The sequence below is a fragment of the Homo sapiens genome, chromosome 7, assembly GCF_000001405.40.
Source record: "Homo sapiens chromosome 7, GRCh38.p14 Primary Assembly".
NCBI classification, from domain to species: Eukaryota; Metazoa; Chordata; class Mammalia; order Primates; family Hominidae; genus Homo; species Homo sapiens.
The window spans coordinates 2,069,428-2,097,028 of record NC_000007.14 but is presented as its reverse complement, the minus strand read 5'-3'; the positions used below and the strand labels follow the sequence as shown (position 1 = coordinate 2,097,028).

The window sequence follows — 27,601 nt, the reverse complement described above, 5'->3', positions numbered from 1 at the left end:
CATGTCAACTGTGGTCCACTGCTTGCTTTCTGTGCCTGGCAGGGTCCCCGGGTGCGCTGTCATTCCTGGCAGTCCTGGAGGGTGCCCGCCTGTGGGTGGCAGCCTGGAGGTACAGTGGCAGACCTGCTGGCCGGGGGTCACCGGCTATGAGGGTGGGGCCCACGCCTGGGCCAGCGTCCTCTGCTGTCGGGCTGTACCATGGGTCTGTGCCCCCAGCCTCTGCTGGGCGGGGTGGTGGTGGTCGTGGGGCAGCTGCAGCCTGCCCCCTCCCTTATGTCTGTGGCTGGGCCTCGTGAAGGGGCCTGAGTTGACGAGTTTGCCTGAGACACATGCAGGAAGGTTCTCTGAGGCTGAGTCTGGCCTCGTTCCTCCTGTCCTCTGCCGAGGAGCTGTAGGGTCTCGCTGTAGCGGGGGAAGCTGTCCTCGAAGTCTTCAATTCAGATGCCCCTTGGAGAGCTGTTTCAGTGCCCGCCCCGCCCTGCCCAATGCACACACAGAATAAAATAGAAGAGTCCCCTGGTCCCATGAAGGCAGCTAACAAATTCAAAGCTCTGTGGAAAAGCAGCGTAGGAGGAGACCTGGCTTTTGAGAGTGAAAGCCGAGTCCGCACTGAGGTTCGGCCAGGCTCATGTGTGCCCAGAGCCAGATTGCAGGCATGAGCCCCGCCACCCCCAGATGTGTGCAGGCGCAGAGGGTCAGCACCACAGCTCTTTGCGCCGGAGGACTGGGTCTTTGTGTGAGTTCTCCCTGGGATCACAGGGCCCTTTCCTCCTGGGAGCCCTTGTGTCCGACGAGGACGACCTTGTGGCTGGCAAGTGTCCTGGAGGCTGGTCCCTCAGGACCCTCCCTGTCCTCATCTGGAATTCACCTTTCTTCTGAGCACAGCCTGTGTGGCGTCGTGTGCTCTGATGGCCTTACCCAGAGGCCACCTTGGCCGCCGGCCTTGCTTTCTCCTGTTTGTGGGCTGCGAGCTGTCATTACGTGACTGAGTCCTGATCAGGCCTGGGGGAGCCCGATTCTAACGACCCTGAGGCTCATGAGGGACCCCGTCTCTCCTGCTGTGTCTCCCCGCGGACCCGCGCTCTCCTTCCTTCACAGAAGCAAAGCTCCCTTGAGGGAGACACCTCGCCTCTCTCCTTCAGGCACCCCCACCCACCCTAGGGCTGCCGGCAAGTGTGCGTGGATGCACTCTGCCCTTCCCCTTAGAGACGGCTGGGGTGTCCGGCCTGCACCCACAGCTGTCCCTATTGTCCTTGCCCTCCTCTCCTCACGGCTTCCCTGCGTTGGCCCCGCCGGCTGAGCCTTGTGCGCCTGTGTGTCCCTGTGCCCCTCTCGCAGTAGGCAGGTGATGACAGCGGCTCAGGGAGGAAGTGCTGCCTCGCCCCACCCTGCCCAGCATTGCTGCTGTCCACCTCGCCTCCTTGCGTTTTCTGTTTAGCAACAGCCACAGCACGCACTATCTCCCCTCTGGTTACGCTGCCCTTCTCTTTAACAGCGACCGCGGCTTCAGCACTGCCCATCTCCGTTTGCAGCCTGGGAGCCGCGCTAACCCACTCAGGCTGCTTTGCATCTCTTCTGCTATTTGAAGTTAAGGGTGTGTGGATAAAGGGATGTGTGCTTGGCTTTTTCTTTTCTTTTCTTTTTTTATCTTTCCAAAAACATTTTATTTTAAAATATTTCTTGCAGGCTGGGCGCCGTGGCTCATGCCTGTAATCCCAGCACTTTGGGAGGCCGAGGCGGGTGGATCACGAGGTCAAGAGATCGAGACCATCCCGGCTAACATGGTGAAACCCCGGCTCTACTAAAAATACAAAAAAATGTAGCCAGGCGTGGTGGCGGGTGCCTGTAGTCCCAGCTACTTGGGAGGCTGAGGCAGGAGAATGGCGTGAACCCCGGAGGCGGAGCTTGTAGTGAGCTGAGATGGAGCCACTGCACTCCAGCCTAGGCGACAGAGCGAGACTCTGCCTCAAAAAAAAATATGGGGAGATATATATATATATATTTACTATTTAATGATTGCTCAGTTTGAAAAACTTCATTTTGCTCATGTTTCACTGTAGTGTATGTAGTGTGTATATAGAGAGCTGCACAAATTATCCATGAACACGGCATCACCATCACCCGGTCAGGAAACAGCGTGATCAGCTGAGTCCCTCCTGCCCCCCCACTTCCTGTTCCTGGAACTCCCACCCAGTTCCCATCGCCCTGGGTCACTTTTGCCGTGTTTGGTCTCTATGTAGATGGGTCATGTGGTTTCGTTGGTTGGAGTCCTTCCCCCTTGCTGCTTTGCACCTGCGAGCTGTGCTCCTGCCCCGGGGCCTTTGCACCTGCCATCCACGCTCCTGTCCCGGGGCCTTCTCACCTGCCAGCCCCGCTCCTGCCCCAGGGCCTTTGCACTGGCCAGTCCTCTTTCTGGAGCACCCTGTCTGGATAGCAGCAGCCTTCCTGACTTTCCTTCCTGTCTTTCACAACTGTTACCTCCTCGTGGGCCTTCCCTGCCCACCTGTGAAACATCATGACTGTCTGTTCCCTGTCTTGCTGTCACTTTTTCCCGTCAAGCACATTATAGACTTTGGTTTTTTGTGTCTTATTTCTCATCCGTCTTGTCACTTGAAGGGTAGCGCCTCCTCAGCAGTGTTGTGAACAGGTTCCAACACACAGGGGTGCTCGGGCATCCTCTGTCGAGAGTGTGGGTGAGTGCGTGTCCCGTTCCCGATGTGAGAGCTGTGGATTCTGCATCCAGAGGGATTCTGCATCCAGAGGGAGTGCTGGCCACTGGGAGCCCTTTAGGGACACACTCCTCCACACTGACCATGGGTGGGTCCCTGCTCAGCCTCCTGGGAGGGCTGTCCCTTGTGGCTGGCGTTGAGGCCACCTGTTCCCAGCAGCTCAGCAAGGGCTGTGAGTTTGCTCATGGCTGGGCGTGTGCTCCCAGCGGGCTCCCCACTCACCAGTGCTGTCCTCCCTGGCCTCTGCTTTCCTTGGCCCTGCAAGCTGCACAGACGACCGTCTGCGCCCGCGTGGCCTGAGAGCTCTGTGTGGATGCTGTGGCTCTGAGGTTCCTGTCCTCTCCCTGCCTTGCTGTCATGAGTTCGGGAGCAGCTTCTGGGGGTTCCGACTGCCGACCTGACATCGTCACCTGAGGCTTTTCAGCTGATGGAGCCTCTCCTTGTCTGTTGCCCCGTGCCCCACAGTGGCTTTGTCTGCGTTCCTGGGTTCCGCGTTCCGTGCTCCTCTGGCTGATGGAGCGCAGCTGTGGACTCTCCCGTGCGTTGCCCAGCCAGTGCCAGTGTGTCTCATAGGGGTGGATGAGACGGAGCTGTCTTGGGGGCCACTTCCTCTTCTAGGTTCGCCGGATCTGCTTTCCCCACATTCTGTGAGCTGTGTTCCCACACCTGGAAGGAAGGAGGAGGAGAGCGAAGGGGATGTCAGCATTTTATTTGAATTCCTTTCTGAGTCTGATTACAAAAGCAACACACTTTGATTCAGAACACTCGAGAATGTGGAGGAGACAGCAAAGCTGAGAAGAAAGGTTTCCCGTCGTCCCTCTTCCCAGGGAAAGCTGCTGTGACTGTTTTGGCCAGGATCCTTCCTGGCATTTTTATATACATGGAACATGTTTTTCTAATGGGATTTTAGGAGAAAATACTGCATGCACTATTTACTGAGTCATCTTGTTTTGTTTAATCTTTTGTGAACATTTTCCATGTTAAATATTCTTTTAAAACATAACTTTTTGGCTATGTACTGCCCTCCCTCTGAATTTTTTTTTTTTTTTTTTTTTGACACGGAGTCTCTCTGTGTCCCCCAGGCTGGAGTGCAGTGGTGCTATCTTGGCTCACTGCAACTTCTGCCTCCTGGGTTTAAGCGATTCTTCCGCCTCAGTCTCCCGAGTAGCTGGGGTTACAGGTTTGTGCCACCATCCCCAGCTAATTTTTGTATATATTTTTTTTTTTGTAGAGACGGGGTTTCACCATATTGGCCAGGCTGGTCTTGAACTCCTGACCTCGTGATCCACCCGCCTCAGCCTCCCAAAGTACTGGGATTACAGGTGTGAGCCACTGCACTCGGCCCAAATGCTTTTATATGCATTACCTGGTTACCCATGAAGAAGGCCCTCTGATCTGCTAGAGGAAGATAGAGGAGCAAATCTGTGTGCCCTGGGGTTGGACGATGAGTTTTTAGGTATAACACTGAAAGGAAATCCATAAGAGAAAAAATTTGATAAATTTGCCTTGTTAAAGACTCTTGCTCTGTGGAAGATACTGTTAAGAGGACGAAAAGACAAACCACAGAATGGGAGAAAATATTTACAAGTCAGATATTTGACAAATAACTGGTATCCAGAATATATAAGGCCTTCTTAAAACTCAATAATAGGAAAACAGGCAACCTAATTGAAAGATGGGCAAAATGTCTGAAAAGACAGTCACTGATATCCAGAGGGCAGGTGTGTGAGGGGAGGATGCTCGGGCGGGGCATGGTTGAAAACACAGTCACCGATATCCAGAGGGCAGGTGTGTGAGGGAGGATGCTTAGGCGGGGCGTGGTTGAAAAGACAGTCAACCGATATCCAGAGGGCAGATGCGTGAGGGAGGATGCTTGGGTGGGGCGTGGTCATGCACACCTGTGATCCTAGCATTTTAGGAGGCTGAGGTGGGAGGATTGCTTGAACCTGGGAATTTGAGGCTGCAGTGAGCTGTGATCACACCACTGCACTCCAGCCTGGGAGACAGAGAGAGACCCTGTCTCAGAAATTAAAAAATAAAAAGAGGATGCTCAGGAGTATTTGTCTTTGGGGGATTGCAAATTAGTACAACCATGAGACATGGCCACACACTGTGGGAATGGCTAAAAACTGTAAGATCACTGACGGCACTAAATGCTGGTGGAGACGTGGAGCCACAGGAACTCTCACGCACTGCTGGGAGGAGTGCAAAATGGTGCCACCACTTTGAGGCAGCGTGGCAGCTTTTTACAAAGCCAAACACGGTCTTATCGTATGACCTGATGGCCCTGTCTGTGGGCTCTTAACCACGGGAATTGAAAATTGTGTCCACACAGAGACCTGAATGTGCGTGTTTATAGCAGGTTTATTCATAGTTAACTAAAAACCAGAAGCACCACAACACCCTGTAACAGAGGAACAGATAAACAAATTAGTACATTTGTGCAATGGAATCCTGTTCAGTGAGAGAATGGGACAAGGTATCGATCATACAACAACATAGATGAATCTTTTTTTTTTTTTTTGAGATGGAGTCTCGCTCTGTCGCCCAGGCTGTAGTGCAGTGGCGTGATCTCTGCTCACTGCAAGCTCCGCCTCCTGGGTTCACGCCATTCTTCTGCCTCAGCCTCCAGAGTAGCTGGGACTACAGGCGCCCACCACTAAGCCCGGCTAATTTTTTGTATTTTTTGGTAGAGACGGGGTTTCACCCTGTTAGCCAGTATGGTCTCGATCTCCTGACCTTGTGATCCGCCCACCTCGGCCTCCCAAAGTGCTGGGATCATAGGCGTGAGCTACCGTGTCCGGCCAGATGGATCTTGAATGTATTTTTCTAAGTGAGAAAAGCCAGACCCCAGCCAGACATCAGCATGAACTCCTGACTGGCTCAACACAAGTAGACAGATTCAGAAGGAACTGCAGGCAGATGCGTCTGTGTATGCAGGGCTGGCACATACCTGTACTGCTGCGGGGCCCGGAGGCAGGCACACCCAGCAACAGGGAGCTGACCGGGGCCCAGAGCAGGGCTTCCAAGCACTGTTCTCGGTAGGAGGACCTGGGCGTCTTTGGAAAGATACCTGGTTTTAGGACTGGGGTAGGAAATACACAGGAGGAGCCTGGAGTGTCTTCTAGTTCCAGAAAGTAAGGAAATGCAGAAAACCCAAAAGGATGGGGCGTGTGGATGGGACACAGGAGCCAGAGGAAAGCATTCCTGTGGCTGAAGGCGAAACACTTGCAGCAAGAAAATGAAGTGGAGTGACTTATAACCCGACGCGTCAAATAAACGCGGGTGAATCAGGCTGACCGAAATAAATGATGGCGTGACTCAATGGGGCAGATGCAGCTCCTCCCTCCGGAAGGATTGCAGATAAAATGGATGTAGTTCTCTGCCCTCAAGAGATGGAACTTAATCCCCCTAGGGTAGGCCAGGCTCCGTGACCTCCTTCCAAAGAGTGGAGTACCCAAAAGGTAACGTTGCCTGCCTGGAGGGGCCTGGTGGGCAGCACCTTCCCGGAGCGATGAGGGCCCCGCCCGGGCTCCAAGGGATGATGGGGACGCTGCGTCTGTGGTTCTTTACAGACCTGTAGCTCCAGTCCAGCCTCAACACACACCTGACCCTGCGGGGGGCCTGCCTGGGCCAGTCCTGCTCAGAACTGCCAAGTCCATGAGAAACAAGGAAAGGCTGACAAATGAGAGGAGACTCAGGAGGTGTGGCAACTAATGGCACCCTGATCCAACCCTGGGAAGGAACAAGGACGCTGAAGGACAGACACACTGGTGCTGTCCAGGCAGAGTCCCAGGTCCGTTCGTGACACCGTTCCAGTGCTTGCACTGGGAGGCTGGGTTCCTGGGAACTCACTGTACTGTCCTGACAACTTTTCTGTACACCTAGTCGTTCCAAAATCAAAATCAAAATTTACTTTAAAAACCCCTGAGGTAAGGATCATTGGGAGGTTTTGAAGTGTTCAGGACGCTTGCCTGAGTTCCCCAAAGCAAGCGACCGCAGAACCAGATTCAACTGGCAGTGGACCTGGCCCCTCCCCGAGCGCCGGTGACTCAGTGGACCTGCTTTGTCTTCTGGCCTACCCTTCTCTCACCTCCACCTTAGAACCCCAGGGGTGGTGCCTGCTCGGCACTAGCCTTTGAGGCCCCTTACCGACCATTTGGATGTGTTTGGTGAGGAGTCCCTGGCGGTGAATGACTTCTTCCTAATGAAGTTAAACACGACCATGCCATTCCTGACAAGGGAACCTGCCGTTTCCTGTCACTCTTCCTTGTCCGCCTGCCCTCAAAGCTTTCGTTGCATAGCTGGTAGCAAACCAACATCACTAGGGTTGGTGTTCCCTGTCCCTGGCCGGAGCTCCTTCTGCAGCTCGAAAGGTCTGGGGAGAGCAGCCCTTCAGCCCACTCTGATCTCATGGCAGGTGTGTGTTAGCCTGGCCTTAATTAAGCCTGGCCTTCGAGATGGATGTCAGAACAGCATGATTATTGGACACTTTGTTTTGGAAGCCCGTTCCTTTAGAAGGTGTGCACTTGGAAGTGTGATTAAACACGATGCACGTGATGGGGTGGGCCCCGGGGACAGGTGTTGGAAGTGTGATTAAACACGATGCACGTGATGGGGTGGGCGTGTGGGGTGGGCCCCGGGGACAGGTATTGGAAGTGTGATTAAACACGATGCACGTGATGGGTGGGCGTGTGCGGTGGGCCCCAGGGACAGGTGTTGGGGCTTGGTTGCTTTCCCTGTGTATTAGTCTGTTTTCATGCTGCTGATACATACCTGAAACTGGAAATACAAAAAGGTTTAATTGGACTTATGGTTCCACATGGCTGTGGAGGGCTCCGAATCATGGTGGGAGGCAAAAGGCTCTTCTTACATGGTGGTAGCAAGAGAAAATGAGGAAGAAGCAAAAGTGGAAAGCCTGGATAAACCCATCCGATCTCGTGAGTCTTATTCACTATCACGAGAATAGCATGGGAAAGACGGGCCCCCATGATTCAGTTACCTCCCCCTGGGTCCCTCCCACAGCCTGTGGGAATTCTGGGAGATGCAATTCCAGTTAGGATTTCCACGGGGACGCAGCCAAACCATATCACCTTGGCTGTGGCCTCCACTGTGCCTGGGACTGGCCACAGAGAGCTGTGTCTCCGTGGCTGCCTTCTCCTTGCCTGTTTGCGTGGTCTCGAGGAAGCTGCACAGCAGGGCCCGAGTCGGCCGTGTGAGCCGCTCTCCCTGTCAAAGCACACCCATCCCTGCCTGCTTTGACCTGAACTTGGTGACCTTCAGGCCATCAGTGGAGTGGGGCAGAATGAATAGCCTGTCCTGGCTCATGGCAGCCACCGGGTGAGGCGCCTGCATGCGTGGCTCGGAGGCCTTCTGCAGGCACAACCCCCACCGTGGGCCTGGCAGCTTGTGTGGGAGGCGTGCGGGTCGGTGGCAGAGGGTGAGCACCAGCCCTGTGTGAACCTTCACAACTCCTCTGTGGACCCTGGACTTGGCTTCACTGCTGGTGAGAATCTGGTGTGTGCTTTGGGGCACCCAGGAAATGGAGTTGAGGGCGTCTAGGTTGTACTTGAGAGATGGCCCGGCTCCGTCGGTGTCCTTCCTTCAGGCTGAAGAGCTGCATGGAGTGTGACAGATGGCACTCCCTCCACCCGTCCCCTTGCTGCCTCTCGCTCATGGCCACTGCTGAGTGCTGGGAGTGCCCCAGGCTGTGCCACACCGTCCTGATCTCCCCGGCCTCCCAGGGAGATGGATGTGCACGTGCAGTGGCAGCTCCAGAGCTGTCATGGTGGCACTCGAGGCTGGGGCGGTGTTCCCTGGAGGCAAGCGGGGAGCCTCTCTGGGGTTCAGTGGAGCTCAGACTGCCATGGTGGGACGGAGCGGGGCGGGGGCTGTGGTGGGAATAGGTGGCTCAGTGTGGGCCAGAAGGTTGGAGGGCTGGCGCCGACACGGAACCAGGGTAGCACGAGACCACCGTGCTGGTAACCAGATGGCGCAGCCTGTGATGGGGGCCTGGATTGTGTTCCAGCGGCAACAGGCCCGTCGGCAGGTTTCAGGCAGGGGTGTGAGGAGGCGTGAAGAGGCGCGATGTGTGATCCAAGGTCGCTTTGCTGCCCGACCTCGTCCACTGTTCTGTGGCCATGCACGTGGGCCCCCATATTTCCACTCAGCCTGTGCGGGTGCTTTGTGTGTAGACTTTTAAAGGGGAGAAGTCAGTGTGGTCCGAGTCCCAGTCTTCTTCTTCTCTAACTCTCCTAGAGCCTCAAGCCTCGATCTGCTGGGAAACGGATCCAGTTAGCTGTGAGAGGGGAAGTGGCAGCTTTGCTGAGTTTCACTGGATCTTCTCAGAGGCACCGGCTGTTGAATTCTGTTTCCTCTCCCCACACGCTGTTGTGGTTTTCCCTTCAGCTGCTAGCGCCGTGCTGTCTTGGATGCTAAGGGGCGCCTACGGTGTTCCATGAAGCTGTTCTCTGTGGACAGGCAGGATCTCTCTAAACATACAGTTGGCGCTAGCTTTCTTTCAGCTCCCCAGTCCCTGCTCCTGGCCATGGGACATCATTCCTTTTACAACAAAGAGGATCCTGTCTCTTCCCAAGTACCACTGTTCCTTTGCGATCGGCACAGGCAGGAGAGGTCCGCCCTGCCAGGCCTGGGTCAGTGGAGCTGTGCAGACTGTGGTATAGAAGCTGCCTTCAACAGTTGTATTCCATTTGGGCTTCTCCATTTCCTGATTAGTAGTAGTATTAATAATATTATTTTCAAGACGGAGTCTCACACTGTTGCCCAGGCTGGAGTGCAGTGGTGCGATCTCGGCTCACTGCAACCTCCATTTCCCGGGTTCAAGTGATTATCGTGCCTCAGCCTCATGAGTAGCTGAGATTACAGGCGCGCGCCACCAGGCCTGGCTAATTTTTGTATTCTTAGTAGAGACAGGGTTTCGCCATGTTGGTCAGGCTGGTCTTGAACTCCTGACCTCAAGTGATCTGTCCGCCTCACCCTCCCGAAGTGCTGGAGTTACAGGCATGAACCACCATGCCTGGTCCATTTCCCGATTATTTATTGGTAGTAAAATTCACTTTGAGGTGTGTGGCTCTGTGGGTCTTGACAGTTGCACTGAGCATCCCCCACCACAGCCATGATTCAGTTCCATCACCCTAAGAGTTTCTCCTGCCTCCCCTTGGTCACAGCGCTCTTCCCCTGCCGCCAGCAGCCATGTGGGTACGTTTTTAAAGAGAAGAGCTTCCATGAGGTTTGAAGCCCAGTTTCTCCATGCATGACCACCACCTCCTCCATGCTCTTCTCAAAGTGATGTTGCTTTTTCTTGTTTTAAAACTTTTTCCTGAACTCAGCTTGTAACTCTTAGGATTCCTGGCCACATCTCCCGTCTTCCTGCACGTGATTTCTCTGCCACCCTTGCTTTTAGTCGCAGAAGATAACAGCAATTGTGCTGGGCGCGGTGGCTCATGCCTGTAATCCCAGCAATTTGGGAGGCCGAGGCAGGTGGATCAACTGAGGTCAAGAGTTCGAGACCAGCCTGGCCAACACAGTGAAACCCTGTCTCTACTGAAAATACAAAAAAAATTAGCTGGGTGTGGTGGCAGGCAACTGTAATCCCAGCTACTCTGGAGGCTGAGGCAGAATTGCTTGAACCTGGGAGGCGGAGGTTGCAGTGAGCCGAGAGCGTGCCATTGCACTCCAGCTCTGGGGGACAAGAACGAGACTTTGTCTCCAAAAAGAAAAAAAAAGAAAAAGAGCAATTGTGGCTGGCCTGTCTCCCTGCCTGCAGCGTTTACGGCTTTCCCATGGGCAGAGGCCGTGTGTGGCTCCGTCCCCAGCCGGCTGTGCTGTCTCTGTCGTGCTCCTTGGCACTGACTGACTGACCTGTCTGGAGCCTCCAATTAAAGGTCACTGGCAGCACTTCCCCTAATTACCATGCCATAAGGACTTGGCAGGTTTTGTGGCTGTGGTGTGAGCGAGGGCGTGCCTGTGCTTCAGTGATGCGTTACCCAGTGCTGAGTTGTTGAGCTGCACCTTCCTTTGGATGGGATGCATTTTGGGGAGGAGGACGGAGAATCTGAGCTTCTTCCCTACCAGGCATCTTGTCCTCACTGGGCCTGTGGGGAGGGAGGGGCTCATCCTTAGGAGCTCAGTTGCTTGTCTTTAGGAGCTCCTTGGGGCTGCTGGCCAGGAGGGAGGGAGGTGACGGGTCTTGCCGTCCTCCCCCGCAGCGTGGAGTCCTCCCGGGCAGGGTGGGATTCCTGGGGGTAGGTGGAGCTGCGCACGGAGGTGATGGGTCTCACCATCCTCCAGGCCTTCATACATGCCTGATGGGCCTGTGAAGTTGGCGGGAGTGGGCAGTCGGCGCCCTCGTACGCACCTGGTGGTCCTGTGAAGCTGCATCTGCCGTGAGCGTCCAGTGGGTCTTCAGAGGTTAGGCGGTCACTGGATGACCCAGCAACTTCCCTTCTAAGTGCGCACCCAAGAGAATTGATAACATGTTTGCACGAACACTCGTGTCATCGTTCATAGCAGCATTGCTCATAGTAGCCAAGAGATGGGGCCAACCCAAATGCCCCTCAGCTGTGACTAAAAACAACACGGCTGTCCACCCAGCGAGGAGTTATTGAGCCATAAGAGATGGAGGCTGATGTATGCTGCAGCAGGGACTGGCCTTGAAGACATGATGCCAAGTCAATTCAACAGTATGAAAGGCCACCACCTGTATGATGACATTAATATGAAGTGCCCAGAATAGGCAAAGTCCCGAACTCAAAGCAGGGCATTCCTGAGACACTGCCGTGGCCTCATGTGCTCACTGTGGGCAGAAATATCAGAGTGGCCACTGCCCTGGGAGAACCAGGTGGCCGAGAGGCAATGGCGGCTGCAGGCAGGGACAGCTACATGCGCTGCTCTCCTGGGGTGTGTACTGCGTGGCTGTGCGGCGGGGAGACAGACCACACGGTGAGGTGGGAGGGTGGAGCTTGTTAGCAGGCACCGTTACTTGCTCCGTTACACTTGTCTTTTGTTAACCTTTTCTACCTTTGAGCTTCTTTGAGGACAGTCACCATTGTGTCTGCTTTGCCTGGAATGGTGGCTGATACACAGTGGGTGCTTGAGGTGAGCGTGGAGTTACGGTTCTGAGACCCGTGGCTAGCATGTGAGCTGCAGTAACGAACAGTGTAGTCACTGTCAGGACTGAGCAAGACCGGCGTTGAATTCTTGCTCATCACTGACTGCTGGCCCTTTAGCAGGCTCTCTGATGTCTTCTCAGCTGGGCCATCTCGTCTGTAAAGGACATGATGATAGTCCTTGGCTTGGGGTGGTGGGAAACACATAAACGTGACGATGTATGTTCAGGAAACGATGACGGCAATGATAAGGTCTCTTTTACCCACATGTGGCGAGTTTCTTACTCTACAAGGCTACAGAGTCGCAGGCTCTTCACCTGGAGGGTTGGGAGCACCCTCCTGCCCCCGTGCTTGGCCCTGTATTTGTCACGGCTCCTTCCTTTTTCTCCTCCCTGCCCCAGTCTGGCTCTGGTGGCTCCCAGGGTTATCTGGGGCCGGACATCAGGACGTTCCAGGAGATGTCCAGAGGTGCGAGGCAAGTTCTGAGGGAGGTTCTCCAATGCAGGGATCAAGCTGGCGGTAGGTGACACATTGAGTGGTGTGCTGGCGGCTGCAGTGGCCGCCACCGTGGCTCAGGAAGTAGGTTTTCTGGGCTAGGACTCCGCACTGAGCTGGGTTTCCTGCCTCTAATCTGCTCTCCAGCAGTCAGGCCTGCCAGAGCCTGGGGACCTCCGTGAGCACAGGTACCTGCTCCCTCGTCCCCGGCACGTCTGCGTGGGCGCAGGGCCTTCTCTGGCATCACCCTGCCCGGGCAGCGCCACTCGCATGCTCTGCCCCCTTGCAGTGCTCTGCTCCCAGCAAGTGAAGGTCATGGCCCTTGGCATTCCTGGCCTCGCGCTGCCCGTGGCTGTCTCTGTGGCGGGTCCGGCCACACCTGTGGACAGGCCCTTTCTGTCCCCCCTGGACTTTGAGGAAATGAAGTCAGTATTCACCAGCACAGCAGAGCTTTATTTTTCTACACATACGCAGAAACTTCCATTGTGTTTCCTGAATTATTTTGACCCAAGTCTTCCAGATCCTGCGGAGTGTCCACCGCACACCCTGCCAGCAGTGCTGCCTTGGAATGCCTTTCGGGTGTCCAGAGGAAGCCGCTGGTTAACTGATAGCGAGAAAGGGAATGGCGGCTCGGATGTGAGCATTCTTCTCCGAGTTGGGTGCATGTGGAAAACCGGACCTTCACTGGGTGGGGGTCCATGCCCAGTCTGCGCCCGCTTCCCCAGTGCCTTCTTGCCCAAGCTCCTCCCCACCCCAGGGTCTGACTGCGCTGGAATCACTGGGAGCATCCTGCAGCCGGCCCACAGGATGGGCCCAGCAGACACTCACAGTGACCAACCAGGAGGTCCTGGAGATGGGAACGGGCGCTCCTGCAGTATCAGGAACAGATCTGTTTCTTCCCACGTGCTTTTCCCTGAAGAACTGGGAGGAGGAAATGTTGGTCTTCTTGGTACACAGCCTGCTGCAGGTCAGTGGCGGAGGCCGGGTTTCAACCCAGGTCTCCCAGGTCTTCCTAGCGTCCGATGCCGTTGCCTCTTCCATCTTGGCCACGGGGGACATCTTGCAGTCTGTTACGTCTGGAGTCTCCCGACAGCCCGCCCTGCGCTGGCCTCCACCCACTGACCCACCTTGGAGGCCTCTCCGCTGATTTACCTGCCCGAGTGCTGAGCGCCGTGCCTCGAGACTGGGGGCACTCACCCCGCACCTCCTCTCCGTGCTGTGTAAGCCAAGAAGTGCTCAGTGATTCCAACAAGCACTAACCCTGCCTTTTAAAGGTCATTCCTGTCTTTGTCAGTTCTTAAAGTTCAAGAGGAAATAAACTGCTTAGAGCTGGCATTTCTCAAGTCAAGTGTCAGCCCTCCAAGCCCCCCGCCCGGCACGGAGGAAGCGAGGTTCATAAATGAGCTGCCGGGTGACTCAGTGATGGGCGAATGGGTGCCTTCCTCTCTCCAGCTCCTGCTAGAAAGGAATGAAAGGGAAACTAATAATTCCGAAAATCTCATTTTCTCCTTAAAGTTTTGTTACTCAGCACGGGGAATGCTTTGGAGATGTTTCTTTATTGGTCGAGTGACAGCGTTTAGAGGCTGTCAGCCCTGGGTACCCAGGACGTCACGCGCAGGGAGGGACGGCTCTTCCCCCTGGGGGCCTGTGCCACCCGTTCCTGATTGACGGGCAGGGGAGCTCTCCCTGCAGCGCGAGAGACAGCAGAGGCCCCATGAAGGTGCCACACCTAACGGGGTATTGACTTCTGTGCTTTGGGTCAAGGATGGCAAAATCAATGGGAAAATAAACAGGCCGAATGTGCTTCATTACCCAGGTAGCGCTGAAGCAGCTGGAGTGGTCGTGCGGCGCACAGGCGTGGGCGGAGGCTGGGCCGAGTGCAGGCGCCGGGCTCCATCAATTGTCATGGGCACTAGAGCCTCAGCTTCAGAGCTGCTAATTGGGCTATCGGGTGATTCCAAAGAGAGACGCCACAGAGATCGCTTTGCCTCTTCTTTTAACTATTTGTCTAATTTGATGCAAGCCTCAGTTAAACGGGGTATGTGAGCCCCTTGATCCTCAGAGCTCAATCTCCTCAGCCTGGTCCTTCCACTTGGCCTGCTGCCTCTCTAGAGTGCTGCACTCCCACACCAGACCCGGCGACGCCGGCCAGAGCCCAGCTCCATGCCTCACGGCTCTGATTCACTGGCCACATGGTGCTGAAGTCACGGCTCCGACAGCAGCTCCGCTGAGCTCCCAGGCCCGGCTCCTTCCCTCTGGTCTCTCCTTCTGTCTCTCCCATCTCCCTTGCTGAGCTCCCCAGGCCTGGCTCCTTCCCTCCTGTCTCTCCCGCTCTCTCCCTTCTCCCTCCTGCACTCTGTCTCACACACGGCCCCATGGTCCCCGCTCTCCTTCCCTTCCCTCCCTCCTTCCCTGGCTTTTCTGGTTTCCCGTGCAGCTGTTGTGGGATGTGCACAGCCCCCTCACACTCACACATGGCCTCCTGGTCCCCGTCCCCTCCCCCTCCTGCCTCCCTTCCCTTTCTCTGGCATCTCCTGCGCAGGTGTTCCCGGGAGCTTGTTCTCCGTTCTTTATTCCTCGGTCTCTGCTTTTCCTTCTTACATAAGTTCTTGTGCTTTGACATCTCTTCTTGTCACTTCAGTGTGGCCAGACTTCAGAGTCTCTATCTTTGGCTCCAACCTCTCTCCTAATCTCCATGATCAGATTTTCCTCTGTCCCTGGAAGCTGCTACCTTGCTGTTATTGCTCCTGACCTTGGGGCCATGTCAGGCGTGCCCTGCTGTCTCCCCAGGGGTCCCGTGATCTCTGTTGGCCACTCGCATGAAGGCCCAGCCTCCCCACCCTGACGGCAGGTGTGTCTCCCGCTTTCCCACCAGCTAGGCCAGGCGGCCTTCCCCTCTCTAACCTGTGCTCCGGCTTTTCTCCCTCGCACTTAGCTCCTGCCCCCTCCGCCGGGCCTGGGCCGTTGTGCTCCGCCGACCACGGGGGCTGGAACAGTGACGGCGGACCCCTGTGTGGAGGACAGAGCCCGGAAGAGAGAAGTCCTGGGGCCTGCTGGCTGGTCGAGGGAGTGAAGGGGTGCATGATGGTGTCCTGGGCTGCAGTGATGCAGGGAGCGCCCCCCGCCTCCTGTGTGGGGTGGGTTCCGGCCCGATGCGGGGATTTTTGGCAGTCCCTGAGACCCACAGTCCCTCCACAGGCTGGTGTCCTCCAGCTGAGATGTGTCCTGAGGTTTCCCGGGTCGCACGATGGCGTTCTGGAAATTGGAGAAGTGTTGGTGGAGTGGGACTGATACGTGGATGCTGTGATTTTCGTTCCTTTACGCGTCAGTTTGAGGGAACTCGATGGACTTTCGCTAGAACCTATGATCCAGATGAGGAAGGGGCAAGGAGCCCAGTGTGGCAACCCTGGCCCCAAGTGACTCCTCTGCCCACAGGCCGCTTTCCACCACCGGCTCAGAGCCTCCCCACCTCCCCACCCCGGCCCAGCTTGTCTGTCCATATCTGTTTCCAAACACCCTTCCCGCTGGCTCTGCCATTCCCACCCTGCGTCATCCCCAGTCCTGTCCTTGGTTCCTGGCCTGGCTCCTGGACCATCACAGCAGCTCTCTCCTCTCTCTTCCTGGGCTCAGGCATCTTCTCACCCTTCAGGAACGGGGAACCAGGGAGAGGGGGCACAGAGTCTGGACCTTGGGCATGCTGAGAGGCAGCTGAGGGTTAATGAGGCCAAGATATAATGTCACAAAGTGCAGGCCACGTCCCGGCGGTACCGCCTGTGAGCCAGGTCCCCTGGAATGCCACTCTCCCCCAGCATTTGTGTCCCTAACCGAGAAATGAGGCGAAAACGTCTCCCTCCCTGGCAGGGAGGTTCAGGGTGTGTTTGAAGAAATGGCAGTTCCCTTTGCCCAACCACACGCATCTTCATTGGGAAAATCTGGCTCCGCACCTCATCTGAATGCACGGCCCTGTGCAGCCGACAGCAGGGCTGCTCTGCGACCCGGGAGTTTCCAGCTGCCTGGGGATGGACTTGGCGTCAGAGCCCAGCGCTGTTCTTTGAGTCCTGCTCCCATTTGGAAATGAGGGGCCCCGGAATCCTGGGCTTCCTACCAGAGGCCTGTGATCGTGGGGGAGGCGCTCTGCACATGAGGGTGGGTGGGTGGGTTTAGTCAGAGGGTGGTTATTACTGTTTTTGCCTTTGAATTTGTGCATCTGCAGTGGCCGAGGCGGGGAGCCGGCAGGAGCTTGCTCTCTTGTGGGGGACATGCAGTCGCCCGGCCTCAGGTGGGTGGGAACTCATGTCTTTAGTTACCCATGCTAGCGTTTCTAAACCTCATATCTGTGGTATAGGGTAGTGGTATAGGGTATTGGTTGGTAACCTTTCTCTGTAAAGAGCCGTATGGTAAATACTTTTGGCTTTTTGAGCCACGGGCTCTGTCACAGGAAAGCAGCCGTAAGCCATATGTCAATGAATGGGAGTGGCTTTGTTCCAGGAAAACTTTCCTTACAACCATAGGTGGTGGGCTGTTTGCTGAGCAGCAGTGCAGAGAAAGCCCCCAGCCTCGAGGCTGGCCCACCCGCCTGCTGCCTGCCTGTTGGCCATGTGGCCCCTTGGGGCTTCTGTCCTGTGCATTAGGCGAGCAGGCAGCCAGCGCTGACAGGGTTGACGGACGCACGGATGGTCTCCTTCTCTCTGACCTCGGGAGACGGTAGATGTGTCCAGGACACCTGCTGTGCCTCTCTGCGTCACTCCAGGCACCGGATTATCTTCTGTGGCTTCTCTTTTTTCTCCAAGTCAGAGCTGGAGGGCATGGGGCGGTTGTTTAGTAGAGCCTGGGGAGGTGACTTGCCCCCTTGTCTCTGCAGTTCTCATTTCCTAATCTCCAGCAGCCTGGGGCGGAAGTGAATTTATGGTCTCCCTGCGGCCGTGCTTGCCGGGGCTCCCCACCCAGCATTTGGAGGAGCCCTGCCCAGGCGATTACAGGTTGGTAGCTGATCAGCTAAACTGGATTATTCATTATGGTTGGGAGTGAATTGAAATTGCAAAGGGCAATTTTCCTTCTCACATTTCAAGGTCAGATGAGAGTATTTGCCGTGTGGCCTCTGTTTATCTGGGAATGCAAATTGAATTTGGTGATTCCAGTTGACGAGATGTTGGGAACAGAGCGTTCATCAGAGGCAGAGTCGGGGAGAAGTGACCGGGAGGCCAGGCTGCAGCTTCAGAGCCTGCTCCCCTGGCCGTTCCTTTGATTGGTAATTATTTCAGCCTTTGGTCTTCTCATTCTCTGGTTTTGTTTCCGCTGTTTGGATTTTTATTTTTTTCAGAAAAATGTGTATTGACACTTGGAGGCATTTAAGATTGGGATTAGATAGAGTAAATAACAACAGCTGCGTGCCACGCTGAGCCTGATGTCCTGGGGCACCTGCCCTCTCGGAGTCCCAGCCCCTTCCGAGTCTGAACCTGCCCCCCAGGGAGGAGGGCTTGCCCCTCTCTTTCACCTGCAAGTGCCCACCTGTGCCACTGAGTGCGGCTGCCCGGCCCCAACCTCATGACGGTGTGGGGGCTGAGCTGGCCACGTGGACTTGAACCCGAGTCTTCAGCGAGGCATTCACCCCCTCCCAACCGCTGGCTCGGCCAAGCCCCTGCACTTGCCCTCTTCTGAGAGACACATGGAACGTGTCACCTGTGTGGCAGTGCTGTTGCTTGGCCCGACTGGGGCATCTCCCCCCAGCCCTATGGGGGTGCCCAAGGCACGGCCCTGGAGACCCTGGAGGTCAGTACAGTGGTGTCCTGGGGGACACGGTGGCTTCTGAGCCCCTTTGTCCTTGGGGATGTGGGGACTGGGGCCGGTGCTGCCGCTGTCCTCCCAGATTCTGGTGGAGATTTGAACCCAAGTCCTCAGCGAGGCATGCCACCTCTGAGCCCCTTCCTCCTCAGGGATGTGGGGTGGGGGTGGCGCTGCTGCTTTCCTCCCAGATTCTGGTGCAGACTAAACGAGGTCATGTACCCAGGAGCACCCCCTGCAGCCGAAAGCTGCTCGGGCGAGAGTGGGAAACTGCTCAGGAGGCTCGGCCTCCGAGTTCAGACATGGAGGGGCCCTGGCCGCCAGCCTCCTCTGCTTTCTTCTTCAGTCCTGGGTAGATGAGAAGCATAAACTCTGATCTGAATCTCCAGCAGCTCCTGATCAGGGAGCATCTCCTGGCTCAGCCGCGGAGGCCCCGTGAGCGTGGGGCAGGGGAGGAACTGGGACCTCTTGATGCTCTCGTGCTTCACGACGGACGCACGCGTCTGATCCAGTCCTCCCCTGCCCATTCGCAGCGAGGGGCCTGGTGGCCTCAGTTCCATCCAAGAGGAAGGAGAAGGCCAGAGGTGGATGGAGCGCTCAGAGCCTCCGGATAGTGGGTTGACGTGGGGGATCCTGCAGGTAGGCGGGACCCTCTCAACCCTGTAGGTCCCAGGGCAGTTGTTTCCCTGCCTCTCTGCAGAGGCAGCTATTGATTCCCATTCTCAGGCGGCTCCTCAGATACACAAGGAGCCTGCGTCTGTCGTGCCGGTCTCCAGGCCGGAGCTGGGGGCTTCGATGGCAGAGACGGCTCCTCTCTGTGGTGAGTGGGGGCCCTTCCCCGGTGTTCCCTCTTAGCAAGGAGCGAATGTGGATGCCTGAACATGCTCAGTGTTGCTTCTGCCCTGTCTGGGAACCCTGGCCTTCCGGGAGAGTATTTCTGAAACCAGTTCGTGCTCCATTTAAAATTTTGCCTCTAGATCCAGGCTGCTGCGAGGCTCCCCGACGGGCGCCTGTGAACACAGCTCTGTGTACAGTTCTTGTGACTGGAGGACGAGCACGTGTGGTTTGGGAGGTTGTTCTGTCCAGCGATATCCTCTTTCAGAACCTGTGGGTGCTTCCGGAGCAGAGCAGGGCAGGCTGTCCACTGGGGCTGGAGCCTGTCCTCTGCTCCCTGCTAGCCTCCTGGATCCTTGTCTCCTGCTCCCGCGCGCCTCCTGCAGAACGGCACTGCTTTTTGTCTCGTGTACCTGCTCCAGGCCACCAGTTAGAGTTCACTGCTCCCCGCTGGGTCGCAGCCCTCCCAACCGCTGGCTCAGCCAAGCCCGTGCACTTGCTCTCTTCCTGAGAGACACATGGAACGTGTCACCTGTGTGGCAGTGCTGTTGCTTGGCCCGACTGGGGCGTCTCCCCCCAGCCCTATGGGGGTGCTCAAGGCATGGCCCTGGAGACCCTGGAGGTCAGTACAGTGGTGTCCTGGGGGACACGGTGGCTTCATGCTCATGACTCAGTCGCTCAAGGCTTGAATTTACTCATCTGTAAAATCGAGATGATTAAAAATCATACTTGTGGGTGGGTCTTGATCTATGTTCCTCAGATAGCTAAGAATAAAGGTGCTTTTAGAGATTTTGCCAAGGTTCGAATACAATTTTATTAGTATTTTCCTAGTTTCATGCCAGACGTCATCACTGAGGATCACCGTGCATGCGGCTGTGTTTACATCTTAACCCTTGAGGCCACTGGCAGGCTCACCGTGCTGCGAGCTCACCATGTCGTAACCATCTCGGGCTCACCATGCCGCGGGCTCACCAAGTCGTAACTCTGTCTTGGGCTCACCATGCCGCGGGCTCACCAAGTCGTAACTCTGTCTCGGGCTCACCGTGCCGTGAGCTCACTGTGTCATAACCGTCTCGGGCTCACCATGCTGCGGGCTCACCGTGCCGCGGGCTCACTGTGCCATAACTGTCTCGGGCTGACCATGCTGTGGGCTCACTATGTCGTAACCCTGTCTTGGGCTCACCGTGCCACAGGCTCACCATGTTGTAACCGTCTCAGGCTGACCGTGCTGCGGGCTCATCGTGTCGTAACCATCTCAGGCTCACTGTGCCGTGAGCTCACCATGTCGTAACCGTCTTGGGCTCACCATGTTGCGGGCTCACCAAGTCGTAACCCTGTCTCAGGGTCACCATGCCATGTGCTCGCTGTGTCATACCTGTGTCTCGGGCTCACTGTGCTGCAGGCTAACTGTGCTGTGGGCTCACTGTGTCATAACTGTGTTGGGGCAGTCATCAGCCCGGAAGCCTCGGTGTGACCCCATGCCCATGTGTGAACAGTGTGTCTGGGCGTTATGGGTTAGGAGACCGTCTGTGTTCGGGCTCACTTAACAAAGTACCATAGTCGGGGATCTGAACAGACGTCCGTTTCTCACAGCTGTGGAGCTGAGGAGTGCAGGATGGCAGTGCCGGGTCTGAGGAGGGCTCTCTTCCTGGTTTGCAGATGACCAGCCCCTGTCCTCACAGGGCAGAGGGAGAGGACTCGAGCTTTGTGCTGCTTACAACTTGCGCATCCCATTGGGAGCACTCCGCCCTCAGGACCGAATGCCCTCTCAGGGGCCCCCGTTTGGTCACCATCACATTGGGGATCTGGGTTTTCACAGGTGAACTTGGGACGACACAGGCATTCTGTGCACTGCCCAAAACGTGCTGGTTTTGCCCTGGGCCCGGGCGTGGCTGTGGAGGCGTCTTCATACCCTGTGGATCCACACTCCAGGCACCACTCAGCCTTGTGACTGGGGCGGGAACAGCCGCCTCATACCATCCCAAGGGTCGGATCAGGTCCCGGGAGCACACAACTGCTTCGCCTTAGACCCCAGCACCACCTGTCCTGGCCTCTCTCAGAGCCTGTCTCCCGCGGTGGCCACGCCGTGGGCTCCTGTGCTCCAGAGCCCCATGGTTTCTGGGGAGAGTCCAGTGATGCCTGTTTGTGCGATGCCTGCCCTTGCCTTGGCGGGTGCTCACAGTGGGCTGGGACTTGGGAGAAGGTAGACAAAGAGTGTGTGGGAGGAATGGGTCGTGCGTGGAAGAGCTGGCTCAGCAGTGTCTTGAGGAAGGTCGTTAAAATGTCTCCTGCCACTTTGGGATACATTGTGTCCTTTCGTTGTTCCTTGAAAGTCGGTATTCTTAGGCCGGGAGTTTCTGATGAAGATCACATTAAAGTGGCCGGCAGTGGCTGGTCACAGCGCAGATGGATGCTCAGAAGCTCAGAGCTTGTTCTTTGAGTAGAGGCTGGCTCAGAGAGCCATTGATTGATAAACATGCCTGGCTTCTCCTTGAGGAACTAAGAACTTCATTCTGAACTCCCAGAGGCTCACGGAAATGCCAGTGACCTCAGAGTTCAGTCCAAGCATGGAACTAGAGGCTTAATTTTTTGAGTTTTCTCTTCTGTACCTCAGAAGAAAGGCCGGGATTGAACAGAGAGAACATCCCCAACAGGGGAGAGCCCGCCGTCGCTGGTGCCGCTGTGGCTCAGCGTGCTGGGTCCCGGTGCCCTGCAGGGCCTGAGGGGTGGGAGGCAGAGGCCATCTTGCCGGAGCGCCTCTACCTGCACGCCTGGGTGGGCAGCACCACTTGTTGGCGGTGTCTGAAACGCTAGATGGGGGGCCTTTAGGCTGCACTCTGGGGCCGTCCACTTTGTGCCGGCCCTTCCTGCACCTCCAGGGCTTGGCTCCTAATTGCCACTTCCTCGGGTCTTCAGGACAGGGCTGCCTCTGCTGGACCTTCCCCTCCTCTCGAGACGCCGGCACCTCATGGACACATGCCAGCCTGCTCCTTGCCTTCCTGCCCCTCTGGCTCAGCCCGCTCTCCACGTCCCGTGCAGAGGCCGTTCCTGGTTTGCTCGTCCTCTTGTGACCTTGCCCATTGCTCCCGGTTGGCCCAACCTCGGGCCCACTGGGCTGACCACGAATGAGCACGCCAGCTGCCCATTGGAAGCGTCCCCGGCTCTGACACCGCCTGTCTCTGACACCACAGGCTGTCCCGCCACCCCTCCCCGAGGGCCCCCCCAGCCTCCGGTTTCCCCTCCAGTGTCAGGAGGCACCTGCTTGCTGGTTTGCTGATGGCCTGTCTTCTGCCCATTGTGGTTACTGAGTTGTTGCCTCGCAGCTCCACACTCCCTTCTCTGAGCCCTACTTTGCGGTGCCAGGGCTGCAGCCCACACCTGCGCTTCGCCAGGGAGTGCCTGTCCTGGGGGCGCTGGAGAGGGCCCGGGGTCAGCCTGCAGGCAAGTGGGGCAGCTCTTTAGCCGCTGGCCTTGCCCCCTCCCAGCAGCCTGCCAGCCTGCAGATTCCGTAGCGCCTAGAGGTGCCAGCTCCATGGGCTGCTGCCCTGTTCTCAGAGGCCTGGGTCCAGGCCCTCCAGGGTCCCCATGCAGACACCAGCATGGCCTCCCTCAGCAGCCTCAGTTCCTGTTCCATGGGGCCCATCTCTGAGTGTCTACATTTTAATGATGTCAGCCTCTGCCCCGTGTTCCCACAGCCCAAGGGCTGGGAGCTGCTTCCTGAAGTCACTGCGTCCTTGGCGCCTGAGGGTCTTCCTTCTGCTCTCGGTGACCTCAGTACCTGCACCCGCCGTGAGATTCTCTGCTCATGCCACACGCGTGGCTTCTTTGCTTGAGATTCCCACCCCAGTAGAATGGAGGCCCAGCGAGCCCAGGCTGGCTGCGGTGTTCCGTGCTGCCATCTCTGCTGCCTGGAACGGCATGTGGCCGTCCTCACCCACATCCCGTGTGCTGAACAGACTGGGTAGACTCGCCTGCCAGTCAGGTGTGAGTGGCAAACATCCCGGACATGGTTCTTGGCGAGCATTCCACAGTGTCGTCTCCTTGTCACGTCTTGGTGTTGGATTTTTACAGTCTAGTTCTGTTGTTCAGAAGATTTCAGTGTCAGCCATCAGGCCTTGGGGATGTGGCCCTGATGACGCGGGCCCGAGTGCTTGCACCTGGACGGTCCTGGAGTGGGTGTCTCTCTGCTGCCCACGCCGTCCCTCAGCCGGGAATGTGTGTTGCTCTGGTTCACTTCTCCCATCTCCGTTCATGATGTGGATTTCACTGCCAGGAAGGAGAGGTTTGCTTCACAACCTGGCGGATGAGCTTTTCCAGCCTGTGCTCAGCCCCACGCCCCTATGCCTCTGTCTACCCTCTGGGGTGCTGCAGAACACACGCTTCACGCTACATCCTGCAGCCACTGCATTTCCTCAGACCGGGTCTGTAAGGAAGCCCAGGTTCAGCTGCTCGATGCTTGACAGCCAGACACGAGAGGCGAGAGTGGCGGAGGAAGAGCAGGCGTATTCGGGGAGCCAGCGGATCGGGGAGATGGTGACCTACAGTCACAAAGACCATCTGAAGTCAGTACAGATCCCAGGCTCTAGTTATGCTAAGGGTAGGGGCAAGAGGAGGGGGTTGGGTCCAAGAGGTGACTGACGATCGTAGAGATCTGGGTGCCAGCAAGGGTCCGAGGGGTCGGGAACTGCTCTGTCCTTGGCCAGGCCACAGCACTCCTGCAGATCTTTAACAAAGCCTAGTTAGCTGTTTCCACACTTCCCCTTTGATCCCAGAGTGAGTTTTTGCATTATTACTCTTTGCTATTTTTGCATTATTATCTCAGTACTCTAAAAGCTAGGAGTAGGTAAAGACCCTTTAAGCAGTGGCGGAGGGATATGCTAGTTCTGCTGAGCCACTGTTACAGGCCGAGGGCCGGGCTTGGGGCGCCTCGGTGCCTGCCGTCCTGCCTCACCGAGGCGGCCTAGGCTGCAGAGAGTGGGATGTGGGCCTGAGGGAAGCAGCTCAGGCCACATCCAGTTCCTGGGACCCAGTCTTGGCCCCTGGCTCTATTGCACTGAGCCCTGGTCCTCAAGTGCCGGGAGCCTGGGCTCTGAAGCAAGACAGCCACTGTCCTGTGGGTGTGCGTTACTCACATCTGCTCTGCGTGGCGGGGGGACTCCAGCCCCACATGTGCCCCCACACAGATGTGAGCGCACCCTCACTCAGGATGCAGGGTGTGGGTTTGCTGGGCCCCCTTCAAGGCTGCCCAGCCATCCTGTGCTGAGCTGAGGGTGCTTCCCAGCGCAGCCCCTTACCCTTCTCTCTGGCCAGATGCCTGTGCTGTGCCTGTCACCTGAAAGACAGCACCTGTCACATTCTTGCCTTTGCACATTCTGGCTTTGAAGCAGAGTACAGGGAATGGTGGCGTTCTTCTAGTTAAATGACCACACGGAGCCGTGATTTAAAGCACTTGTGAACGTTCCCACCTGAATTCAGTGATTCAAGAGTAGATTTTACAGCCCTTGAGTATTAAATTGGCCCATGAGTAGTTTAAAATTGAACTGGGTCCCAAAGTAGCCTCATAATATGTGTTTCCCATGAGCTTTGTGCCTGCTTTTTATTTTGTCTTGCGTTTTTGGTTATGGAGCGCCTGGAGGGGGCAGGGGGGCCGCTGGCCAGTGCTGCACCTGGGGCCAGTGTCAGTGTAGGGCTTTCCGAGGCGGCTGATGGGATAGGAAAGACTCAGAACGGTTTCCTCTGCTCTCACGTCGCAGCAGTCAACACAGAAGACTCTGACCAGATGTGGGGTGTTTCCCCACCCACCAAGCAAGCAGTTGGTTCTGCCTGGGACACCAGCCGTTCAGCTCAGTCTCACTCAGTTCTGTTCTGACACTGTCTACCTGGAGGTGCTGTCAGACCCTGGGTGAGGGCTCAGTCCCCACCTTCTGGTGCTGGTCGCGAGCCGCAGGTGTGCTTCTGACCGGCCAGCTGTAAACTGGGGTTCCTACCACCCAGTTGGGATTCCCCTTGGGTTTGATAAATTTGCTGGAGTGTCTCACAGAACTCAAGGAAACGTATGTTCACCAGTTTATTATGAAGCTTACTGCGAAGGATGCAGATGAATGGATGCGCAGGGCGAGATGTGGGGGAAGGGTGCAGAGCGTCCGTGCCCTCCCCACCCTCCAGGAACAGTGGGAGCTCTCCCAGTTCCCGTGAGAAGCCTTTGGGTTTTGATGGAGGCCGCCACCCTCCGGGAAGAGTGGAAGCTCTCCTAGCTCTGGTGGAAAACCTTTGGGTTTTGATGGAGGCCACCACCCTCCAGGAACAGTGAAAGCGCTCCCTGCTCCGGTGAGAAACCTTTGGGTTTTGATGGAGGCCTTGTCAGGCGGACATAATTGACTCCGCCCCTGCTCATTGGTGAACCACTCAGCCTTCAGCCCCTCTCCTTCCCCAGCTTAGGGGTGGGGCTGAAGTCCCGAGCCTCTAGTCCGGCCTCGATCTTCCTGGTGTCCCGCCCCATCCTGCAGCTGCCCAGGGGCTGCAGCCACCGTCAGTCATTGGCACATGGAAGGCCTCAGTCGGGAAAGCCCGAGGGTTTTAGGAGCTGTGTTCTGGTAGATGGGTTGACGATCAGTTACATATTTCACAAGATCACACGCGGCTGAAATGAGACGCCCGCGTCCTGGACGCCAGTACATTGGCCCCAGTCTGTGGGCTTGTGTGGCTTCTGCTGGGGCCGGCTGAGGGTGGCCAGGTTGGGGTTCCCGCCATGCTTGGCTGGGTCAGGACCGCCACCAAGTCCCTTCTGACGTTCTGTGAGTGTTGGATTCACATTCACTTTCAACTTATCCTTTATTTCAAGACTTCTACTAAGTTACAGTTAAAAACCCCGTATTCACTTCACTCAAACATGAGTCCAGTGGAGACCACCGCCCAAGAAAGTGCCATCCCCCCAGCCCCGGGATGAAGCTTTCCCTTCCCCAAACCACCGCCCAAGAAAGCACCATCCACCAGCCCTGGGATGAAGCTTTCCCTTCCCCAAACCACCTCCCAAGAAAGCGCCATCCACCAGCCCTGGGATGAAGCTTTCCCTTCCCCAAACCACTGCCCAAGAAAGCACCATCCACCAGCCCCAGGATGAAGCTTTCCCTTCCCCAAACCACTGCCCAAGAAAGCGCCATCTGTCAGTCCAGGGATGAAACTTTTCCTCAAGTCATGCAACTAAGGCCGAGCAGAAGCAATCAATGGCTGGGAAGGTGTGAACGTGAGGGTGGAGGTCATGGCCCCATCCCACATTCCTGTTTCCAAGCAGCCTCCTGGCTCTCCCTGATGGTTGCCTCACAGGGCTGTGGTCCCTGTTAGCTTTTCTCTATCCCAGTGCTGTGTTTTATTTCCTTGAGATTTAGTTAAGATTTCCTTTGGAAAGAAGTTTGTGGTACTCAATAGAGTCGTGTGCAGCTCCCGTGTTCCAGCGCCGTTCCGCTCTGCGCCTGCCTGGGCTGTCTGAGTAGGGATGGGCCCTCCCTCCGCGGACTCGCACCCTCCCCGGTGTGGCCTCTCTTCTTTCCTGGCTGTGTCCTTTCCTGGGAGAGCTCTCGTACCTCACTGTGGAGTCCTGACTCTCCTCCTCTCGGGCGGCCTCTCATCTCTCCTGGCTGTGTCCCTTCCTGGGAGCACCTGTGTGCCCGGCTGTCCCATGTGGGAGGTGGAGTCCTGACTCACCCTCTCCCTGGGACAGCCTCTCCTCTCTGCGCCTCACTGTGCCCTTCCTGGGAGCCCCTCCCGTGAGGAGGTGGAGTCCTGGGGTTCCCGGAATCACAGAAAGCCGTTGCATCATGGGTGGGTTCTGCAGTCAGGGTCAGTGGACGCTGTCATTTGTCCGGTCCCAAGTCAGCTCCTGAAGGACAGAGAGAGAGGGGCAAGATCCAAACCCCTGAGGCCCGCTACTGCCAGGCCACGAACTCGGAAGCTCACCAAGAGTGGTTGGGAGCCACCAAAGGCTTAAAAATCGCATGACCCAGCCCCTCTCTGCTGTCTGAGGAGACAGCTTGGTGCCCAGTGGCAGAGGGGTCTAGTGAGAGCCGTTGGGAGGCTATTGTGGTAACGTAGGTGACAGGCAACGAGCACAGGGACTGAGGCAGTGGCTGTGGGGACCATGCAGGGAAAAGGGAGGTTTCAAAAGCAGAATTGAAAGGAACCATCAGCCACCCGAAGGGGCGGACAGGGAGAGGCCTCTTGGGCAGCCTGGAGTTGGCCCTGCCTCTGGCGTCGGCCCACAGGAGGCCTCTCGGGTTCCCAGTGCTTAGCGCCAGGCTGGGCTTTCAACCTCACAGAATGTTTTTAGAACAGGCCCCCCAACCAGGCGCCTGGCGCTTGCTTCCCCGCACCACGCTGCACATCTGCGGTGATTCAGAGGGGAAGCGCTGGCTCTGCAATCTCGCTCATTCAGAAGTCCCGTCTCCTGAAGGGCTGCGTCGCCGACAATTTTTCCCATTGTGTGTGGAGTTGAGCTCCCTTCCCCCTCCCTGCCGTGTTCTGGGATCACCCTGGGAGTCTATTTGAAATCCAGAAACTCCTGAAAGGCCTTAAGTAGCTATTCAGCAGTGCGGAAATGGCAGTGAGGGGGTTGCACGTGCAGCTCTATTTTAGGATGTC

The 27,601-nt window shown here is 56.6% G+C and overlaps 1 protein-coding gene and 1 non-coding gene across 6 annotated transcripts in view, besides 9 other annotated features; both read left to right on the top strand.

The window, feature by feature from the left end:
- The window catches only part of MAD1L1 (mitotic arrest deficient 1 like 1), a 417,151-nt gene that overhangs the window by 135,917 nt on the left and 253,633 nt on the right, over window positions 1–27,601 (top strand). The gene's annotated exons all lie outside the window — the stretch shown is intronic.
- On the top strand, window positions 7,977–8,117 carry SNORA114 (small nucleolar RNA, H/ACA box 114). The gene has a single exon (NR_145797.1). It is a non-coding gene; the product is annotated as a small nucleolar RNA, H/ACA box 114 (small nucleolar RNA).
- Window positions 16,526–17,093: an enhancer, noted in NCBI's record as "H3K4me1 hESC enhancer chr7:2119571-2120138 (GRCh37/hg19 assembly coordinates)". NCBI's record gives its function as "activates a minimal SCP1, AML or CMV promoter by ChIP-STARR-seq in naive H9 embryonic stem cells {active_cell/tissue: H9 hESC(naive)}" and the evidence as "EXISTENCE:reporter gene assay evidence [ECO:0000049][PMID:30033119]".
- Window positions 17,094–17,663: an enhancer, noted in NCBI's record as "H3K27ac-H3K4me1 hESC enhancer chr7:2119001-2119570 (GRCh37/hg19 assembly coordinates)". NCBI's record gives its function as "activates a minimal SCP1, AML or CMV promoter by ChIP-STARR-seq in naive H9 embryonic stem cells {active_cell/tissue: H9 hESC(naive)}" and the evidence as "EXISTENCE:reporter gene assay evidence [ECO:0000049][PMID:30033119]".
- Window positions 17,664–18,232: an enhancer, noted in NCBI's record as "H3K27ac-H3K4me1 hESC enhancer chr7:2118432-2119000 (GRCh37/hg19 assembly coordinates)". NCBI's record gives its function as "activates a minimal SCP1, AML or CMV promoter by ChIP-STARR-seq in naive H9 embryonic stem cells {active_cell/tissue: H9 hESC(naive)}" and the evidence as "EXISTENCE:reporter gene assay evidence [ECO:0000049][PMID:30033119]".
- Window positions 18,233–18,802: an enhancer, noted in NCBI's record as "H3K27ac-H3K4me1 hESC enhancer chr7:2117862-2118431 (GRCh37/hg19 assembly coordinates)". NCBI's record gives its function as "activates a minimal SCP1, AML or CMV promoter by ChIP-STARR-seq in naive H9 embryonic stem cells {active_cell/tissue: H9 hESC(naive)}" and the evidence as "EXISTENCE:reporter gene assay evidence [ECO:0000049][PMID:30033119]".
- Window positions 23,060–23,560: an enhancer, noted in NCBI's record as "H3K4me1 hESC enhancer chr7:2113104-2113604 (GRCh37/hg19 assembly coordinates)". NCBI's record gives its function as "activates a minimal SCP1, AML or CMV promoter by ChIP-STARR-seq in primed H9 embryonic stem cells {active_cell/tissue: H9 hESC(primed)}" and the evidence as "EXISTENCE:reporter gene assay evidence [ECO:0000049][PMID:30033119]".
- Window positions 23,580–24,133: an enhancer, noted in NCBI's record as "H3K4me1 hESC enhancer chr7:2112531-2113084 (GRCh37/hg19 assembly coordinates)". NCBI's record gives its function as "activates a minimal SCP1, AML or CMV promoter by ChIP-STARR-seq in primed H9 embryonic stem cells {active_cell/tissue: H9 hESC(primed)}" and the evidence as "EXISTENCE:reporter gene assay evidence [ECO:0000049][PMID:30033119]".
- Window positions 24,671–24,820: an enhancer, noted in NCBI's record as "active region_25505". NCBI's record gives its function as "activates an Ori minimal core promoter by ATAC-STARR-seq in GM12878 lymphoblastoid cells {active_cell/tissue: GM12878}" and the evidence as "EXISTENCE:reporter gene assay evidence [ECO:0000049][PMID:35858748]".
- Window positions 26,306–26,860: an enhancer, noted in NCBI's record as "H3K4me1 hESC enhancer chr7:2109804-2110358 (GRCh37/hg19 assembly coordinates)". NCBI's record gives its function as "activates a minimal SCP1, AML or CMV promoter by ChIP-STARR-seq in naive H9 embryonic stem cells {active_cell/tissue: H9 hESC(naive)}" and the evidence as "EXISTENCE:reporter gene assay evidence [ECO:0000049][PMID:30033119]".
- Window positions 26,861–27,416: an enhancer, noted in NCBI's record as "H3K4me1 hESC enhancer chr7:2109248-2109803 (GRCh37/hg19 assembly coordinates)". NCBI's record gives its function as "activates a minimal SCP1, AML or CMV promoter by ChIP-STARR-seq in naive H9 embryonic stem cells {active_cell/tissue: H9 hESC(naive)}" and the evidence as "EXISTENCE:reporter gene assay evidence [ECO:0000049][PMID:30033119]".